Source organism: Homo sapiens, chromosome 1 (genome assembly GCF_000001405.40).
Source record: "Homo sapiens chromosome 1, GRCh38.p14 Primary Assembly".
Taxonomy (NCBI): domain Eukaryota; kingdom Metazoa; phylum Chordata; class Mammalia; order Primates; family Hominidae; genus Homo; species Homo sapiens.
Window position 1 is genome coordinate 93,549,781 of NC_000001.11, and position 21,200 is coordinate 93,570,980.

The 21,200-nt window shown below is 40.0% G+C and overlaps 2 protein-coding genes across 33 annotated transcripts in view, besides 2 other annotated features; one reads left to right on the top strand and one right to left on the bottom strand.

The window, feature by feature from the left end:
- Positions 1 to 4,881, top strand: part of FNBP1L (formin binding protein 1 like) — a 106,544-nt gene extending 101,663 nt beyond the window's left edge. For 2 of the 3 annotated variants that reach the window (NM_001164473.3, NM_017737.5), the window contains 2 exons: positions 1,167 to 1,325; positions 2,629 to 4,881. In NM_001164473.3, coding sequence (NP_001157945.1) covers positions 1,167 to 1,325; positions 2,629 to 2,636 — 167 coding nt within the window. In that variant the 3' untranslated portion in view covers positions 2,637 to 4,881. Of the gene's footprint in view, positions 1 to 1,166 lie in introns of all 3 variants that reach the window. The other variant, NM_001024948.3, reaches the window with a different exon arrangement.
- Positions 2,892 to 3,186: a silencer, noted in NCBI's record as "tiled region #13550; HepG2 Repressive non-DNase unmatched - State 6:EnhF". NCBI's record gives its function as "represses a minimal TATA promoter and a strong SV40 promoter by Sharpr-MPRA in HepG2 cells {active_cell/tissue: HepG2}" and the evidence as "EXISTENCE:reporter gene assay evidence [ECO:0000049][PMID:27701403]".
- Positions 3,234 to 3,762: an enhancer, noted in NCBI's record as "OCT4-NANOG hESC enhancer chr1:94018571-94019099 (GRCh37/hg19 assembly coordinates)". NCBI's record gives its function as "activates a minimal SCP1, AML or CMV promoter by ChIP-STARR-seq in naive H9 embryonic stem cells {active_cell/tissue: H9 hESC(naive)}" and the evidence as "EXISTENCE:reporter gene assay evidence [ECO:0000049][PMID:30033119]".
- A 7,079-nt stretch (positions 4,882 to 11,960) lies between the features above and the next one.
- Positions 11,961 to 21,200, bottom strand: part of BCAR3 (BCAR3 adaptor protein, NSP family member) — a 286,411-nt gene continuing 277,171 nt past the window's right edge. For 26 of the 30 annotated variants that reach the window (NR_178024.1, NM_001261408.2, NM_001412054.1 and 23 more), the window contains 3 exons: positions 17,960 to 18,071; positions 17,499 to 17,711; positions 11,961 to 12,639 (listed from right to left, as the gene is read on the bottom strand). Coding sequence is in view for 28 of the 30 variants with exons in the window: in NM_001261408.2 (NP_001248337.1) it covers positions 12,461 to 12,639; positions 17,499 to 17,711; positions 17,960 to 18,071 (504 nt within the window). In the remaining 2 variants the exon portion in view is untranslated. Of the gene's footprint in view, positions 12,640 to 17,366; positions 18,072 to 21,200 lie in introns of those variants that run through there. The other 4 variants (NM_001261409.1, NM_001412043.1, NR_178023.1 and 1 more) reach the window with 4 other exon arrangements.

Consider the following 21,200-nt stretch of genomic DNA (forward strand, 5'->3'; position numbering starts at 1 on the left):
CGGATGCCACTTCATGCTCTTCCTTGTAGCTTACTAACATTAAGAGACAGGTACAAGGCATAGCTAGCTGAATGCCATCATCATATACTGAGTCCGTAGGCCACCTGTTTAGATGAAAGTGGGAGAGAATGTAGTAGCTACTGACTATGTTATCTCTTACTCTATGAAAGTTGAAGAACAAACTCTGGAAGGGAAGTAAGGCACTGAGGCCTTCTCCTGCAGATTTTTAGTTCCTCTTTATCCTGGACTGTGAAAAATACTTTCCCTCAACTAACAGGAGAACTGAGCGACACTTTCATAAATAAACGGTTGTAAAATGGTGCTTGATTTAAGGTCTTTCTCCCCACTTCGTGTTGGTTTAAAATTGAGCAAAGTCTCTAGTTACTTCTTATTAGAAAATATATTAAATTTAAGACCTTGCAGCCAAGTGCAGTGATGTGTGCCTATAGTCCCAGACACTTGGGAGGCTGCGGTGAGAGGATTGCTTGAGCCCAGGAGTTCGAATCCAACCTGGGCAGTAAGACCCTATCTCTAAAACAAAACAAAAGAAAACAAACTTGCTATAATGTAATCTAGAGAGTAGGGAAGCAATTTGGCACGTGTTAAATGAAGATTCAGTTGTGAAAATTGTTACTGCTAAGCAGGTTGGGCGTGGTTGGGGATAGAGAGTGAAAGAGTTGTGTATGGCCATTCTGTTTCTACCATCTCTAGAGTCAAACCCGTATTTTTCTCTGTTCTCCCTTCAGACTCTCTTTTTTCCTTCTTTCTTCCTGCTCTTTTGCTATCTGGTTACTGTTTTCCTAATCCATACCTGCTGAATTTTTTTAGATAGACTACTAAAATTTGGGAAAAGAGTTGGAATAGTGACATAGGAATTAGAATACCCTGTCAAATCATGTAATGTCACTGTGACTCAGTTAACTTCATCCGTTACATGGGGGTGATGTTATCCAGCCCTGCGGGCTTATTATGCAGCTCAAATGAGAGAATGTATATGAAAGTGCTGGGTAAGCCACAAAGCACAATAGAGATGTTGCTAGTGAGAGTCAGTAGTTCCAGGTACATTGAAATCTAGTAGGGTTTCATTGTATTTTGTGCATTGTATTAGTAACTTTAAAAAAAATTATCACAATGCTTAAATTATGCTTGTGAAAACTCTCATCTAGGACATAATGAAGGTACTCTAGCAATGAAAGAAGGTGAAGTTCTCTACATTATAGAGGAGGACAAAGGTGACGGATGGACAAGAGCTCGGAGACAGAACGGTGAAGAAGGCTACGTTCCCACGTCATACATAGATGTAACTCTAGAGAAAAACAGTAAAGGTGCAGTAACTTATATCTAAACTAACCAGGCACCTTTGTGCCATGTGTGACATAGGAAGAGTAACATAAAATGAAAACACATTCAACAGGTTGAAAAAAATAAGGAAACTTAAAGGGCATCCAAGATTAATTGTTCACTATGTGAGCTGAGTGTAGGCTTGATCTTGTGAATATTACCACAAGAAACATTTTGTGGCACTTTACTGTTTGAGTAACGTTGGTGTGAAGCTTAATTGATGCCTTTTGCTTTATGTCCCGCTTAAGTCTGTGTGAAGGATTTGTGTTTTTCTGCCTTACAAATAGAATTTGATTTATTGGGCAGGAATTCATGGATAGTAATGCTCTCTGCCCCCTTTACTTCAGAAAACACAGTGACTTTAGTGAATTTGAATAGTGAAACTGCTCTGAAATGCTATGGAAAGCCGACTCCCCAAAGAGTGGTTTCTTCTAGAAGTTTGAATTTGTAGCTACAGTTTCCAAGAAGAAAAATAGTAGTTGGATAATTTAGTAAAATAATAACATCATTTTCATTTTCTTACCTATTCTTAACTTTGGTTTCCTAAAGGAAGAAAATGAGCAGGTAGCACATAATCTATTTAAGTAGATTTAAAGAGAGTTTCAAAATAAATCTCCTGGTCTAGCTCTTAGGTGAATAAAATAGATTTTGTTTGAGACCTCAAAATATTTTGAGGTTAGCTGGTAATTTTCAATAATTTACAAGCTTCCTTCCAAACTAATCTCATACTTTTGTATGTTTCATCTTGAAAATATCTTTTGGGAAATACCACTTTAGTGATTATTTAGCATTTAGCAGTTACACATAGGAAAATACACAGTTACATAGAAAAATACACATTTGAAGATAGAGGAAACCTTGAATGGAGGGGAAGTGTTGACAAATTTTAATTTTTAAAGGAGAAACTTTTTGACTATCTGGGTTAGAGGAAGATATGTGTACCGCCTTTAGGGCATTTTGTTATTTCCGCTGAATCATTAGTTATTAGGATAGATAAATTTTTCCAATTAGTTTCAGCAAGCGTTGTTGGAAACACTGTGCAGTCAAGGATTGTGCAGTGCTGGTTGTGTGACCACACCCTGAGTCAGTGGTGTGGGGAAGTAAAGTGTGAAGAAGCAGTAAGATTGGTTTTTAATTTTGCCCATGTTTTAAATTTTCCTGGTGTTTTCGGTAGCTGACTATAAAATGATAGAGACATTTGGGACAGGCACTTTAAACTGAACACCCCTTTTGGTTTTACCAAAGGTCTTCAGTAATTGTTCTTTTCTTTTTCCTCCTGGACTGCAGGTTCCTGAAGAGGGTTTCTGAGGAAATGGGCAAGATGTTGAAGGAGGTTACATGCAGCTGCTTTTGGGGGAGGGTATTAGAGTTGTCAGGCTCAAAGAGAGTGAGAGAAGCAAGTTGCATGAGTGCATGCAGACATGATTTTTTTTTTACTAACTTCATTAGCATTTCCATACATTGTTTTTAAAAATCATAATACCAACCCTTAAGTTCCTAGTTCACAGTTATTCCCACAAAAGAAAAAGCCAACAATAGTGTACCATTTTTCTATTTATTTTATTGCTGTCTAATCAATAAAGAATGCAGAGCTGTCAAAAAATGTGTCTTACATTAGCTGTCCCAACAGGATTGTCTTCCCTCCCAGCTCTGTTTTAATTGGCTTTTAGACCCACTATCTGTCAGATCCTTGCCATCTGTCAGTGTCTGCCTGCGCCACCTCCGTGCTTGCTTAACATCCTGTTGCATGTCTAGCGTGATTGAGCTAGATTTTTCAGGCATGTCTTTAGATTCCCTTGTTCTTGTCAAAGCCTTGTTTTGTTTTACATTTGTAGTGCAAATCACTTTGTCAAACATCTCCAGCACTAATGTTTCCATCTTAGTATTTGTGCACACTGCTATAACTTCCCCACTGCAAACATTCCAGTTTTGGCATTACGAAGAAGTAGCTGTGAACCTGAAGTATTTATGATAAGAAAAAGAAAACATCTCTGCTGTAGCCTACAGCCCAGTTGAAAGAACTCTTTGAAACGTGATACATCTTCAGCACCTCAGTCTGGGAAGAATCTAGTCAGCACTGAAATCCTGGCATAATAAACACAGAAGATATTCACCACCTCAAGACAAAGGACTATTGTCAAAAGTCAGCTGCTTCCATTCAAATGCTGCCTTAAACTTGAGTGCCTAAATCTGTTGATTGCCAACACTACCACTACAGTATCCCACAAAGGGCTTTATGTGTCAGCTCAGTGCGACCTGCTTTAACTCTGCAGCACCGCTGCAGCTGCCGATGTAGCCTCGGTAGGTGGCTATTAGAGCTCTACCATATACAGTGGTGCATCTTCAAATTTATGCATCAAACTAAAGACATGTCCAAGTCCATTTTAATTTCCTCAGTGGTTTTATGAGAAGTTTTATGGGCCTCCCCCAATTGTCTTTTTATTTTGGGTTATGACGATCATGTTTGATAATTACAATGATAGTCTCTTTCCACGTGATGCTTTTGTTTGAACCTGATAAAATTTAGTGAAACTTTGTAATGATCTATGTGCACTTTTACTTGTAAAATGGAATTTCTGTATGTTTATACTTGTAAATATGATTGTTGTTAGTGCTCCTGTTGCTCATGGTGTCCTGCCTCGCATTTGTGATTCTGTTAATGACATGTATCTTAACTAATTTCTTAGTGGTGTTGTAATAGGGAGATGGGGCAGGTGGGGGGTTATTTGTACCACTGAATCTTCATTAATTTGGTTCTTTACTGTTTTGAGGGGAGAAAGAACGTGAAATGGTTTGTGTATTATTGAATTTTAAGCAATATTTTAGAAGCTGTGTGACTGCTTTAATAACTTTTTCCCAGTGTTATTTGAATCATACTACCCGTTATACTAAAGCTGAATGACAATTGTGTGAAAGTTACTGCCTTCATAAGATCAAGTCACCACTGTTACACAGCTGACATATAGTGTATTACCTTTGCAGCTAGTAAACTATAAAGTTTAGATATTGAATCTCGTTACAGGGTTATTTATATAATGTGACATTATTCAGTACTGACAGACTACATGAAGTAGTTTTAAAATCTAGTGCTATTTTTATTTTAAAGGTTAGCAATGAGGAGGAAATGTGATCTGGCTGTGTTTGTCTTCTGTACAAAGCCTGAAGTGCTTATGGTTTTTTGGCTAACAGCCACAGAGGGCAAAGTTTAAGACTTTCTTGTAAGGACTAACTGTTCTTTTCAAGCTACTGTTTGTTTTTCTAAAAGCAGGATTTGCTTCCGTAGGAGGCAAGTTCCTTGATGTGGAATAGTGCAACCTGTATATGGGTTATTATAATAGGAAAGACATTTGTACTTGCACAGTTTAAATCATTCTTAAATTTTGAACATGTGAATTGTCCCAAAAAATCTTTAATTTTTTGGTAATTTTTACTCTTTTTGTGCACATGTTGATTTCTTAATGGTAAATCCTTCATTTAAAGATAGTGTTCTCTGTTGAGAATATTTACATGGAATAAAACAATCTTTTCATGGCCTGTTAAGGTGTTTAGTGTGTGATCTTTCATTGCTATGTGAATCAGAGATGTGATGATTTTGTTCTTGAATGTGCCAAGTCTCAGATAATACAGAGTAGATGACAAATTCCATAAGTGGGACAAGTTTTTTTTGTTTTTTGCAAAGCAGTTTTGGAAATTGTATTCTAATTTTGGTTTCTCTAAGCTTTCCTAAAGGAAAAAAAAAGTTTGCTGTCTCTTTAGAGTGAATTTAAATTGCATGCAATAATTTGGATTTATCTTTCTTCTCCAGTAGCTGTGTTGCATAGACTTTCCTTTTACACCATCTGTCCACTGCAACCATACGAACTGTCCCTGTACCTCATAGCCCAATCTAGCCACTACACGCTGGACAGCATTTCCTGTGCTCCGGCTTGATTCCTAATCAGTTACAACACCCAAGTCTTCCTGGCATTTCAAAGCATGGAAAGAACATTTGCCATAATTAGTGACACATTATCTGTAACTTCAGGAAGTCTAATTTCAGAAGATTCACCTTTTAAAAAATGCAAATGTGAAACTATGACTGCAAACTTTTAGAAACTCAGAAAAGGGAATAAAATTCAGGGTAGATGCTGAACAATGAGAGGTTACGATTGTTGAGATGAAAATTTAGGGATCAATGCCAAGTTTGGAAGTAGGAACACACAAAACAATGAAAATAGCAGGAAAATAGTGTCAATTGTTAAAGCTTCAGATGGACAGAGGTTTGGGGTGGAGAGCTCAAAACAATGAAGAAAGCTTTTATTATCAAAACTAAGATCAGTGAAATCACTTCCTATTTGCGAGGGGAAGATAACGTCCTTGATAACAACAAATGAAAAGTCTCTCTAGTCTCATTGAAAAGGGTTTTATTTTGAAGAATGTACAGGTTAAGTATTCCTTATCTGAAATGCTGGGGACCAGAAATATTTCCGATTTTTTTTTTTTTAGATATTTGCATTACATACTTAACAGTTGAGCATCCTTAATCCCCAAATCCAAAATTCTCCAGTCAGCATTTCCTTTGAGCATCATGTCATTGCTCAAAAAGTTTCAGATTTTGGAGTTTTGAATTTGGGATACTCAACTTGTATTAGCTTAAGTAAAAAAAAAAAAAAAAAAAAGCTTAAGAAACAACCTATTTCAATGAGCTTATATACCTAGGATCAATGTATTCCTGAGTATAGTCACTGTCAGGAATTAGGGAAACTACAGAAAACATAAGATGCACCAAAAGATTGGGGAATTGGCAAACACACATTTTGAAGAGTAAATTCTGAGAAGTTGGACAACAACCCTTGAAAGTATTAGATGATGTTAGCTTTTAGGGGACAGTGTATTGGGCAACTGACTGAGGTTCCTAAGAATAAGCCATGTCAAAATAGCCTCATTTCTTTTGATACAAATGGGGGTAATTCTAAGACATAATTAGTGTCTTGCTTTCAACACAATTTCAGTTTGACAAGATTTCTCACTTGTTTTCTGTGAGTTGTGACAGCACTATTAGGGATATGGGAGCATTTGACGAACTGATTTGGTAAACCCAGAATCTCCATCCTGAGGAGTTTCTTGTGGATAATATGTATATGTATGTTATGAACCATTATAAGATAAATATATCACCCAGTTTAACAAGTAGAATATTACCAGGTGGGCACAGTGGAAGCACTGTCTTGAGTGTGGAGTGAGACAGACAAACTACAAGCTTCCAATTCTGGCAAACCAAGATGAGCAATCCCCAACCATCTTACTCCGTCTTTCTCCCTTTTCTCCATTCTCTTCTATGGCTGAGAGCTCCTGCCACTGGCTCTTGGCATATAGCCAGCACCCAGATGGTGCTGTGCTGTCTGATGAGGGTAGGAGGTGAGATGGCGATCCATTACCTGTTCCCTCTCTTCAGGTGCCAGGCAGTGGTTAGTAAACTAATGACAGTGGTCAGTTGAATGGGGGAAGTCACTGGAAGAGTTTGCAGTTCCTTGTGTCAAATCACAGGGGCATCATTTCCCTGGTGACAGCCATATCAAGCAAAAGATTATACCAACCCATTTGTTTAAACAAACAACTTGAAAATTATTAGTGATTTATAAATGGTTTGTGCTACTTATATCACTTGATAAAGTTTTATGTAGTTTAAATAAAATGAATTATCTTGTTGATTTGTACACTGATTTATATATTTATGAATTTAGTAATATCCCAGTTATCAAATATTTTAAATATTCCATTGTATCTTGAGACTTTTTCACTCATCATTTTTAAGATTTATCCTTGTTTATGCATAATTTTATTGTGTATAGTATTCCATTATAAAAGTATACACAAATTATCCATCCTCTTGTCGATGGACATTTGGGCTACTAGTTTTGCTAGTAAAAATATACTGCTTATGTGTATCTATGTACATGTTTACTGATTTCAGAGTTTCTCTAAAATTGTACCGAGGAGTAGAATTGCTAGGTTATGGTTATAGTTTTCATTACAATTTTAGATTCAAGGGGCACGTGTTCAGGCTTATTACATGGATATATTGTGTGCTGCTGAGCTTTGGACTTCTAATGATCCTTTTGCCCAAGTAGTGAACATAGTAACCAATAGGTATTTTTTCAAGCCTTTCTCCCCTCTCTCACTCCCCGCTTTTGGGATCCCCAGTGTCTATTGTTTCCATCTTTATGTACATGTTTACCCAATGTTTTGCTCCCACTTATAAGTGAGGACATGCAGTAGTAGTTGGTTTTCTGTTTCTGTATTAATTTGCTTATGGCAATGGCCTCCAGCTGCATCCATGTTACTGCAAAGAATATGATTTCATTCTTTTCCATGGTTGTGTAGTGTTCCATGGTGTGTATGTACCACATTTTCTTTTTTTTTTTTTGAGATGGAGTTTTGCTCTTGTCGCCCAGGCTGGAGTGCAATGGCATGATCTCTGCTCACTGCAACCTCCGCCTCCTGGGTTCAAGTGATTCTCCTGCCTCCACCTCCTGAGTAGCTGGGATTACAGGTGCCCGCCACCACACCCGGCTAATTTTTGTATTTTTAGTAGAGACAGGGTTTCACCATGTTGGCCAGGCCGGTTTCGAACTCCTGACCTCAGGCCACCCGCCTTGGCCTCCCAAAGTGCTGGGATTACAGGCGTGAGCCACCATGCCTAGCCACCACATTTTCTTTATCCAGTCAACCATTAATGGGCACCTGGGTTGATTCTGTGTCTTTGCTGTTGTGAATAGTGCTGTGATAAATACACGAGTGCAGATGTGTTTTTGGTAGAATGATTTCTTTTCCTTTGGGTATATACCCAGTAATGCAATTGCTGGGTCAAATGGTGTAATTTTAGTTTTTTGTTTTTTTTTTTTTTTACTTTTCAGTAGCCATTCTGACTGGTGTGAGCTGATATTGTGGTTTTGATTTGCATCTCTCTGATGACTAATGATATAATTTTTTCATGTTTGTTGGCTGCTAGTATGTCTTCTGAGAAGTGTCTGTTCTTGTCCGTTGCCCACTTTTTAATGTAGTTATTTTCTTGCTGATTTAAGTTCCTTATAGATTCTGGATATTAGTCCTTGGTCAGATGTGTAGTGTGCAAATATTTGCTCCCATTCTGTAGATTGTCCGTTTAATCTGTTGATAGTTTCTTTTGCTATGCAGAAACTCTTTGGTTTAGTTGGGTCTTAGTTGTCAACTTTTGTTCTTGTTGCATTTGCTTTAGAGGACTTAGTCATAAATTCTTTGCTTAGGCCAATATCTAGAAGAGTATTTTCTAGGTTTTCTTCTAGGCTTTTTATAGTTTGAGGTCTTTCAGTTAAGTCTTTAGTTCATCTTAATTTTTGTATATTGTGATAAGTAGGGGTCCAGCTTCATTCTTCTGCATATGGTTAGTTTTCCCAGCACCATTTATTGAATAGGGTATCCTTTCCCTATTATTTATTTTGTTGACTTTGTTGAAGATAAGTTGTAGGTGTGCAGCAGCTTTATTTCAGGGGTCCCTACTCTGTTCCATTGGTCTATTGTGTCTATTTTTGTACCAGTACCATGCTGGTTTGGTTACTGTAGCCTTGTAGTATAGTTTGAAGTCAGGTAATGTGATACCTTCCACTTTATTCTTTTTGCTTAGGATTGCCTTAGCTATTCCAACTCTTTTTTCGTTCCATATGAATTTTAGAATAGTTTTTTCTAATTTTGTGAAAAGTGACATTGGTAATTTCATAGGAATAGTGTTGAATCTATATATTGCTTTGGGCAATATAGACATTTTAATGATATTGATTCTTCCAACCCATGAACACTGATTGATTTTCCATTTGTTTATGTCATCTATGATTTCTTTCAGCAGTGTTTCAGCAGTCCTAGTTTTGTTTTGGTTTTTTTTTTTGGTGACTATTGTAAATGAGATTATATTCTGGATTTGGTTCTCAGCTTGAATGTTATTGGTATGTAGAAATGTTTCTGATTGTTGTACATTGATTTTGCATCCTGAGACTTTGCTTAAGTCATTTATGAGGTCTGGGAGTCTTTTGGTGGAATCTTTAGGGTTTTCTAGGTATAGAATCGTATCATCAGCACAGAGAAAATATGACTTCCCTTTTTCCCAGTTGGGTGCCTTTTATTTGTTTCTCTTGCCTGACTGCTCTGGCTAGGACTTCCTTAATTTTCATTTTTAAAATATAATGCCACATTTTCCTCCCAAAGTTATTGTAATATTTTTACACTCCTACAAGCATCGTATAAGGGTTATTCATGTTCCATATCCTGGCCAGCACTTAGGATTCAGACTTCAATTTTTGTCAGTTAAAGGATATAAAAGAGCATTTCATTGTAGGCCTAAATCGTGTTGCCCTGATGATTGGTGTTGTGCATCTTCGTGTTTCTATGTTTCCCCTTCTTGTAAAAACCCTGTTTTATCTTCATCCTTTTTTTTTTTGGTCAATTGTCTTTTTATATTTATTCATGGAAGCTCTTTGTGTATTAAGGATGCTAATTGTGTTAGTTATCTCTTACTGTGTAACATAGCTGGCTGATTTTGGCTAAGGGTTTCTCATGAGGTAGCAGTCCAACTGCTGGCTGAGGTTGTAGTCACCTCAAGGCTTTGACTGGGGCTGGAGAGTCCACTTCCAAGATTATCCATGTGGTTGCTGGTAAGCCTCTGTTCCTTTCCTTGCTGGCTGTTGGCCAGAGGCTACAGTTCCTTGCTATATGGACCTCTCCATAGGGATACTCACAAGGTGGCATCTTGCTTTCCCCAGATTGAGTGATCCAAGACTCAAGACAGAAGCTACAGTCTTCTCATAACCTATCTCAGATGCAACATTTCTGCCCTGTGTGCTTGGTGGCACAGACAAAGCCTGGTATAATGCAGGAAGGGACAACACAGAGTGTGAGCACCAGGAGGCAGAGAACATTGGGGACCATCTTGGAGGCTGCCTACCAACCATAGTATTCTGTTGTCCATTTTATGTGTTGTCAATATCTCTGATTTTTCAGGTTCTCTATGATGTCTTTTGAATGGAATTTATTCATTTTAATGCAGATTAATCATTATTTTATAATTAATGCTTTTTCTAAGAAATTCTTATTTGATTCAAAGTAAAAGATACTTTCTTCTAAAAGTATTATGATTTTGCCTTTCACATGTAGGTTCTTAACTCATCCAGATTTTATTTCTGTATATGATAAGAGGTAAGAGGCCATTTTCCCCCTTTCATTTGCTTAACCAATTGTTCAAGAATTAAAGTCATTATTTCCCCCATTTATCAACAGTTTCACTCTGTCATGTTAAATTTCTGATGAAACCTTAATTACTATAGCTTAATAATAAGCTTTTATATCTGGTAGACACCACCAACCTGGGACCACTGTAAATCAATTTCTTGGTTTTGGATTTTGTAATTTTTACTCCAGACCTGTATGAGGACAGGTGTGTGGTTGCCAATCCTCACTGAACACTATAGTCATTATAATTGTTTTCTTCCTGGAGCTGTATGTGAAGACAGTCATGTTTCCTGGCAACCTTCCTTTGCTGGCAGATGAATGTTTTCTATTCCATTAACAGGGACCCTTTAAGGATTCCTGCTTAATGGAGGCATTTTAAGTTCCCCCAAGACAGACTCTCATTCACTGAGCTGACGTTACTCTTTGCCTCTAGGTCTGCCCCGGCTCTTAAGTTCTCATGAGGAGTTGATTCAAATGTGCTGTACCTTTTTCAGGTGCGGCGGGGAGAGAAGTTTGTTCCTTGGGGATTTCTATCAAGGTTGATCATACACTAAAAGGTATGTTTATTAAAATGTATTCAGGATTTAGTTAGTTATGGTGAGAGGGCTAAGAACATCTGAACCACCATATTGCCAGAAGTAGAAATGTGCTTTGGTTTTTTTCAACAAAAAATAACAACGTGGCACCTTTTAAAAAATGTGGCACATTTTTAAAAACCATCATAGGGTGATAGTTAAGTTACAGTGTAACTTCTGTAACCAATAAATCATATTTTTTAAAGGCTATTTAACATCATGAAGAAATTTTCACAGCCGGTTTAAGATGAATATAAAAGTTGGTATGGTCCTAATATTATTTAAAATAGAAGAAGGAAAAACAGATTATTAAAAGAAGTTTGACAGTTGATGGCAGAGTAACAGAATACGTTAAAGTCTTATATTCCAAATTTTGTACAATAGGGAAAGTTGAGAGGGATATTGCTAAACTAGAAAGAAACTAGAAAGTATCCCCTTTGCAAAATGAGAAACCTAGAAAGCCAACCTAGGAAACTCATTGTTGTACTTATCAGCTAGAGGAAAAGGTAAAACAGTTGATTACTCTGAAATATGTGAAGAGATGATGTTATGTTCATCATACTGGGTGTCCATGCTGCACATGGAATTCAATGAGGTAAACTTGGCCTAACTCCAGCTGGTAGCAAGTACCATAGCTTGAGTTTGAACCCAGGTCCTCTCGAGCTGTTTCTACCTTGTGTCACTATCAATCACTCTGCCTTTTAATCCAGGAACATTAAATTTTTCATACCACTTTCATTCATTTTGGTTTACTATCAGGATACGGTACCTAGGGAAGAGCATGCTTGAGGTAGCTAAGAGGTAGAGTTATTGTACCAAGATGAGTTGTTTAATATGAAAGAGACTGGATACAACTGTTTCACAAAAAGATGTATTTTCATTCATGAGTATTTACATTTTTCATATTTGTTTAAAGAATATCATATAACTGATACCTTCTGAAATGTTTCATGCTTTTAAACTCTTCTATTTACACTTATCTGACATGGAATTAAAACTAAAATGGTCAAATACCATGATAATAGAAAGCAACCAGCCAACATAGCTAGGTCTTCTCTTAAATTTGCTGATCAACATTAGCAGTAGTTACCTTAATAATAAATTATTCATTTTAAAATCAGTAGTAACTTTAGACAATTCATAAATAAGTGTGCTCTGTGCAATTTACACGTTTAATATCCTGTGGATACTAAAAGCTTGTATATTGTCAGATTTGCACATTATTACTTTATCAAAAACAGTAAGCTTTCCCAAAGATGAAGCTGGGGAAACTTGAAAAGATATTCTAAAGGTTCTCTGGAGAGTTATCAAAGCTCTGCCTGCTTTACAGGAGGAGGTTCCAATTTACGCGAGAGGGCAGTTAAAATCTGGTTGAATTTCTCATATCTCTCTGTCTGATTGACTTGTGCACCTTTGCTGCCCCATAGCAATCGCATTTGAAATTCAGTCTTGCAGATTTCATTCATTTCTTCATCTGGTTGAAAACCTAATGAAACAAAATAAACAAAAAGTTACTTCAGTTCTGCCTAAGATGTGTTAAAAATAGACTGAAAGCACCAGGCGCGGTGGCTCACGCCTGTAATCCCAGCACTTTGGGAGGCCGAGGTGGGTGGATCACAAGATCAGGAGATCGAGACCATCCTGGCTAACACAGTGAAATCCCGTCTCTACTAAAAAAATACAAAAAATTAGCCAGGCGTGGTGGCGAGCGCCTGTAGTCCCAGCTACTCGGGAGGCTGAGGCAGGAGAATGGCGTGAACCCGGGAGGTGGAGCTTGCAGTGAGCGAGACTGCGCCACTGCACTGCAGCCTGGGTGACAAGCGAGACTCCATCTCAAAAAAAAAAAAAAAAAAAAAAATAGACTGAAAGCTTGCTTAAAGTAGCATCAAAATGAACATCTTCTCTCTCTCAGAACTTTAAAAAATGTCCCCAAAGAAAAATATAGGATCTGTTCTATATAAGGGAGAGCAGAGCCCCACCCTGCAGAACCTAAGCACCTTCAGAGAAGAAATAACAGGTAAACTCATTAAAAAACAATAGAGTGAAATTGGTTTGTACAAACCACTGTGGGAAGTAGTGCTGTGGGAAGGAGGGTTCATTGTACCTAGGAGTTCGTTACTTGTTTTTACCAACTTTACTGATGTATAGTTTACATGTCATATGATTCACCTGTTTTTGGCTGTGGAGTTTGATTTATGATGGTAAGTTTTTACATAAACCATTACCACCAGTCTTAGAACACTTCCATCACCTTAGTACCTCTTTGCAGTCAATTCCTGTTCCTACTGCAGACCTCAGTCAACCACTGATCTGCTTTCTGTTGCTACTGTTTTGCCTTTTCTAGAAATATGGGATAAATGGAATCATCCACTATGAACTTTTTAATGTGTGACTTCTTTCACTTAGCATGATGTTTTTGAGATTATTCCATATGTTGCATGCTAATCATTCTTACTGATCAATATTCAGTTTTATGGACATGCCATTGTTTTTGTTTATCCATTCACCAATTGATGACATTTGGATTGCTTCTGGCTGCTATGAGTAAGTGGTTGTGAACACTTGTGTACAAATCTTGTGTGGACATGTGTTTTCATTTCTCTAGGAAAGGAATTATTGGGTCATACAATCAGTATATGTTTACTTTTAAAGAAACTATTAAACTCTATTCCAAAATGGCTGTATCATTTTATATTCACAGCAGTAACATATGAAGACTCCAGTTTTTCCACATGCTGCCAACCCTTAGTTTTATCATTTTTTATTTTTATTTTTTTGAGAAGGAGTCTCGCTGTGTTGCCCAGGCTGGAGTGCAGTGGCACGATCCTGGCTCACCACAACCTCTACCTCTCGGGTTCAAGCAATTCTCCTGCCTCAGCCTCCCAAGTAGCTGGGACTACAGGTGTGTGCTACCACGCCTGGCTAATTTTTTGTATTTTCAGTAGAGACGGGGTTTTGCCATGTTGGCCAGGCTGGTCTCGAACTTTTGACCTCAGGTGATCCACCCGCCTCGACCTCCCAAAGTGCTGGGATTACAGACATTAGCCACCGTGCCTGGCCTATCATTCTTTTTAGTTGTAGCCATTCTAGATAGTGTGGTGGTATCTCATTGTGGTTGGTTTAAATTTACATTTCCCTAATGATGAATGCTTTGAACATCTTTTCATGTAGTTGTCATTTGTATGCCTTCTCTGATGTAGTGTCTATTCAAATTTTTGTCTATTTAAATTTTATCTTCTCACTGAGTTGTAAGAGTTCTTTGTATAGCCTAGATGTAAGTCCTTTATCAGATATATGTGTACTCAATGTTTTCTGCTGTGGTTCATGCTTTTTGTGTCCTAAGAATTTCTTTCTTTCTTTTTTTTTTTTTTTTTTTTTGAGATGGAGTTTTGCTTTTGTTGCCCAGGCTGAAGTGCAATGGTGCAACCTCTGCCTCCTGGGTTCAAGCAATTCTCCTGCCTCAGCCTCCCGAGTAGCTGAGATTACAGGCATGCGCCACCACGCCCGGCTAATTTTGTATTTTTAGTAGAGACGGGGTTTCTCCACGTTGGTCAGGCTGGTCTTGAACTCCCGACCTCAGGTGATCCGCCTGCCTCAGCCTCCCAAAATGCTGGGATTACAGGCGTGAGCCACCGTGCCTGGCCAAGAAGTCTTTACTTAGCTTAAGGGCACAAAGAATTTCTCCTATGTTTTCTTACAGAAGGTTATACTTTAGCTCTTACATTTTGGGTCTATGATCCATTTTGGATTATTGTGTATGGTATGAGGTAAGGATCGAGATTCACTTTTTTGCATATGGATATCCAATAGCAGATACCATTTGCAGGATTATACTTTATCCAGTGAATTATTTTGGCACCTTTGTTGAAAATCAACTGTCAGCCATATGTGTGGGCCTATTTCTTAACTCTATTCCATCTAAGAGAGGATGTGGTCTGCTTAAGGCCAAAGATGTTCAGGCAACTCTTTTAAAGAGAGAGAAGCCTCTAGCCAAAGAGTCATGTGGTTCTCATCCTTTATTATTGCTGGGATAGTTTGTTCTGCCATTAAATATACCTGCCATCTAGATCACAGGATCTTGGTTGTAGAAAGGACAACAGGAATATTTTCTTCCTGATGATGCCAGAATATCCTTGGTGGATAACCAACCAAAGGCCAGATGGTGACTTTTTTTTTTTTTGAGACCAGGCTGGAGTGCAGTGGCACAATCTCGGCTCAATGAAATTAAGAATCAAGGAGAATCGCTTGATACTCCTGCCTCAGCCTCTCAAGTATTCCCTCTCAAAATTCCCCGGCTAATTTTTGTATTTTTAACAGAGACGGGGTTTTGCCATGTTGTCCAGGCTGGCCTCTAAGTCCTGACCTCAGGTGATCTGCCTACCTCAGCCTCCGAAAGTGCTGGGAATACAGGCATGAGCCACTGCGCCCGGCCCCCAGATGGTGACTCCTATTCATACATGCTTTGAGCCCCTTCCCATTCACGTGGTCTGGTCTATGCTGGTGAGCAGATCTCTGCCTTTCCTGGGTTCACTGTCACTTACAGCAATGGGTACTTGCTGTGAAATCTATATTAGGATCGACTGAAAAATTCCATCAGTGACCTTTAAAGTGATTTAAAGCTGTAGAGCAGCTTATGGCACACTTTTCTCAAAACCCACCCTGATGTATTGGCTTATGCAACATCCATGGTAATGTATTCATTGGCTTTGTCTAAGTAGGCACTCTGATACTTGTTGACTTGTGTGCTTTTATTGTTTGAGTAACATACAGCCAATCCTGGAGAACTTTTTGAGGAAGAAAATGAAACAGGTATGCGGTGCTTATACCCACAGCAGATGGTGCAAACGACTAAGTCCCACATCTGGTTCTGAGGCAGCTCCCTTTTAGAATTAAATAAATGGAGTCTCCTGCCCCCACATAGTTCTTAACTTTGTGAATCAAACTGTGAGCCCTTGAAGAATTTAAAAAATTATATAGTAATGGAAAATAGTCATCCTTGATGACTGCCTTGGCAAAGCCCTCCTTCCTGAATGGTCTTTCTGCCAGCAAACCTTCAGCCTTCCAGCCTTCCTCCACACAGACACCAGAGTAATTTACTTTAAAACAGAAATCTGACCATGTGACACCCTCCCATGATTAAACCCTTCACTGGCTCTTCTTCAGCCACGGTCTTATGTGGAAGGGCTTCCCAGCTGCACCTCCCTCTGTAGCCTAGTTGGCCATTCCTTAGGTCATACTTTGCACAAATCTAAACCCAAGTACTTGTGGATCCCAGTTTTCCCCAAGGTCTCTCAGCGCCTTTGCTTGGGTTGTGCCATCTGAGTGGAATTCCCAGCCCTGCTTGCTGGTAACTGCTTTTGTCCTTTAACAATCAATGCAGTGTTTTCTGGGAAGCTGTCACCAGGTGCTTCCTCTTTCCTAACATCTCTGACCAAATCAGTCCCTTCCCCTAAGTGCTCCCACAGTATACACTGCATTTATCGTACCTGCTTAAATTCCTCAGGACATCCAGTTAGCACGGTGCCGCGCGCATGCCACATGTGTGATAAATGCCGGCCGTGCTGACTGAGGAGGCTGCTTTCTGTCACCATAGCACTTGTAAGAAAAATCCGTTTACGCAACACTGCCCCACACTTTCCAGGATGTGTCTGATGCTAAGAGCAGGGGAGCTCACTTCCCAGTGTGACTGGGAAGGAACAGGAATGCAGATAAATGAGGTCTGGATAAAACTCCACCTCCTCATCTTGGCACATCACCTTTTCTAATCTCACCTATTAGAGGTACTATTAATAAGTGGTAGGCAAGTTGGCCAATTCTTGTTCTGTTGCCCAGCGCCCAGGCTGGAGTGCAGTGGTGCGATCTCGGCTCACTGCAACCTCCGCCTCCCGGGTTCAAGTGATTCTCCTGCCTCAGCCTCCTGAGTAGCTGGGATCACAGGCACACACCATCACGCCCAGCTAATTTTTGTATTTCTATTAGAGACAGGGTTTCATCATGTTGGCCAAGCTGGTCTTGAACTCCTGACTTCAAGTGATCTACCTGCCTCAGCCTCCCAGAGTGCTGGGATTACAGGCTTGAACCACCACGCCCGGCCCCAGTTCTTTCTTGACCCCTTCTCTCTGTTTATTCTATACCATTGAACAACAGAACACACAAGGAGAAACAGGGCACTTGAGTCATTCTGGAATTAAGAGGAAGTAATAACTAGCCATATAGGAAATGGAATTCCATTCTTTAATCCTTCCTTTTTGGTCTTTTTCTAAGTGAAGTCAGCCATGCTCTTCCATTCCTTCATTTCAATTACGATACAGTGTTAGAGAACAGCTTACAAAACCCATCTCTTACCTGCCAGGATCCTCTCAGCATTCATCCGGTAGCTGTCTGCAGCCTCGGCCATGAATCGCGCTGTTGCCAAATGGTTCAGCATGATTTCACAGCTCTGGTCGTTTTTTTCCCACATGTCGGTTCCTTCAAAAGTCACAGCCTGGCGCTCCATTAACGTCACAAGCGGCATCAGCAGTGGGACTGATACATTGTTTGGGGGAACACATGTGGACTCTGAAGAATAAGGAGTAGAGTTTTCCATATCACATGTTTTCCAAAGTTAAGCACAGAATGAGGTGACTCATAGCCCTTGTCTTGTTACAGCAACTGCAGCCTTCTACAAGCAACGCTGTCATCTGATAAAAGCCCTGATGAGCCATCCACAGTGCTGCAGATAACTCAGGGCCTCATAACATGCCCTGTGTACTTGTACTCCACTCCCCAGCGGGGTAGCCCCATGCTTGCTCTGCCCACGTGCTCACCTCTGCCTTCATGCAGGAGTTTGCTGAAGGGCTTCAGCTGTTTCTCATAGAGAATGGCAGTTTGGGTGTACTGGTGCCGCAGAGCAGTCCACGTCTTTTCTAACCTTGTGATCTGGAAGAAAGGTGGTGTTTTGGAAAAGGTTCTTTTTAAAATTACCTTTTAGTGGCTGGGCGTGGTAGCTCACGCCTGTAATGCCAGCACTTTGGGAGGCTGAGGCGGGTGGATCACTTGAGGTCAGGAGTTCAAGACCAGTCTGGCCAGTATGGTGAAACCCTGTCTCTACTCAAATACAAAAATTAGCCAGGCGTGGTGGCGTGTGCCTGTAATCCCAGCTACTCGGGAGGTTGAGGCGGGAGAATTGCTTGAACCTGGGAGGCGGAGGTTGCAATGAGCCAAGATCATGCCACTGCACTCCAGCCTGGTTGACAGAGTGAGACCCTGTCTCAAAAAAAAAAAAATAAATAAAATAAAATTACCCTTTTGCTTAAATTTTGGAACAGGTGATAGATACACATGGTAAAAATGTCAAAGTGTCTGAAAGCAGGGTAGAAAGAAAAAATAATCCCCCATCCGCCCCATCTGCATTGCTGTTAGCGCATCCCAGAGATGGCAACTCTCTTCAACTGCTTGTGCGTGTGTGTTTCACATACAGCCTGGCCTGCTGGCCAGTCCACTGTCAAAATTCAAGGCAGTATTGGATGAGAGGAAATAAACATGATGCAAAGTAAAACACCTGAATGAAAAATTACACTCTTGTTATAATAGAAATCAGCATTATCATGAAAATACGGCAGAACTGATGTTGCTTATTTTAAATACTGATCCTAGAAAATTCCAGTGTACCTGAAGAATTTTGAAAGCTCTTGAAATAAAACTGGAATTGACCTCCCCAAAATTCCTGTCTATACGCACACCCCTTTTAAAAATAAATACATGCATATTATATACTACATAAACCACACCCATTCCTTGCCTCAAAAGCATTCAGTATAAGTACATATAGAACAGCCTTATTTTGTTAAATTTCTGCATAATAGTCCACTGTATGGATAGCTATAGTTTAACTCGTCTCTTAAAGAGTTTTATGACTTTTCTTCTTTGAGATGGGGTCTCACTCTGTTGCCCAGGCTGGGGTGCAGTGGTGCGATCACAGCTCACTGTAGCCTCAACCTCCCAGGCTCAGTGATCTTCCCACCTCAGCCTTCTGAGTAGCTGGGACAACAAACATGAGACACCATGCCTGCTACTCATTTCTTTTCTTCTGCAGGTAACTCAGGGCCTCAATTTTCTTTTGGAACAATTTAGTCAGCAGCAGCATACACCACTGACTCTGACTGTCCTAAGATAAATGGTCCCCAACTCATACCCTAAAACCGGCAAGGCTATGTTAAGTTTTCTACATGAAACAAGGAAGGGCATTAGTATTTGGGGAATAAGAGCCAAGTTTGTGTCAAATATTTGAAGAATTTCATTTAATCTTCACAATGCCCTTTAAGACAGGTATTTTGGCTTTTACAGATGAGAAAACAGAAGAGATTAGGTAACTGCCCAAGGCTTCCCAGCTGGTATGTGGTAGAGCTGAGATTCATTTACTTGGCCTTGAAGAGCTCCTGTATCCAAAAGGAAGGTGAGTAGGCTCAGCACCAGCAGACGTGCTGTGAAGAAAAGGCTGTGGCCGCCTTCCTCCTGCTGCCCACCATGCTGCCCTTCCTTCTGTAGACCCCTGCTCCCTACACCCACTCCCTGAGGCATTGCCTTTCTGAAAGAAGCCTCTGGGTCTGGGCTAGGCCCATCTCCTGGACATATTCTCTTGATACTAGAAGCTGAGAAGAGAAGGTGGCAGATGTGGCTATAGTGTAAGGGCTGGGTTGGATGGTGACACGCAAAGTAATGTGACCCTCCTTTTGGGCTTTCTCTGGGTATGCCACTTCCTCCTAGGCCACTGTATGCTCTGGAGGACTGTGTCCTGTCACTGCTGATGTGCTCCAGAAGGGAAAGGCTGACACTGTTAGAAGGCAGGGAGCCGCCTACAAAGCATGGTAATGTGGTTGGGGACAAGTCCCTAACTGCTGAGTTTGATGTCATGGATGGCAACCATGTGATCCCACAAAACATCTCCTTTACCAGTCTCAGGGGAAGCTCTGGGCTGGAAGGCTTTACCCACAGCCTGGCCTGTTGGCTCTGCTGTCAAAATTCTAGGCAGTTTTAGGTGACAGGAAATAAACATAATGCACATTAAAATACCTGAATGAAAAAATGATAACCCGTTATAGTAGAAATCAGTATATCATGAAAATCTGGCAGAACTTATGGGCTGCTTATTTCAAATACCAATCCTACAAAATACCAGTCTACCTGAAGAATTCTGAAAGCTTCTGAAATATAATTAGAATTGACCCCCCACAAATTCCCGATGAAGGCACTAAGTTTTCAACTTTTTATTTTTAAGGTGACCTTGCTTTAATGCAAGTAAATTCTATTCCTGCCATGATCTGACTTGCGGGACATGTGATTGTGGCTGTTTTTCAGTGGCAATGATGGAATTTCAGTGAGTACCTGGCAGGATTTCAGAGCTAACCTGTGGCTATGAAACAGCCAAGCCGAGTGACCAGCGGTTTTGGTGTTACTAGAAAGTTTTGCTGGCTGGACTGTAAACTCATACTCAAGTCCTCCAAGCATCCAGGGCTTGGGAGAACAGAAGTGGGAGTGCTGATCCTCAGCAATAAAGATGGCAGCCTGACTTTCCTCTATGAGGCCTGCTTGACTTCAGATACAGATATTCAGGTTTGACACTCATCCTAAAAAATCCCTGGCACAGCAGATAAATTCAAATGCCCAGTTTCAGAAACGGTAATTAGGGAGTTCTATGGCAGATGGACCAGGAATCCGAACTTTTTAATAGGACAGTCTGTTTTAGGTGACCTGAGATAAACTATTCTAAGGATTCTGATAGAAGCTCTGCAAATGTCTCATTTCCCAGTGATTATCCTAGACTGCCCACACCTGGTGACCCAGATGGAGGCAGTCTCCTTCTTATACAACACACTTTAGCCAGATGTCTCATCCTAATTGGTTCTCCTTGAATCACTACTGTTCATGAGGATGACACTTGCTACTGTACATCAAAGAGAAAGCATGGACTGTCAGCAAATATTTACTGCCTTAAAAAATAGACCCCAGAGGCTGGGCGTGGTGCTTCATGCCTGTAATCCCAGCACTTTGGGAGGCCGAGGTGGGCAG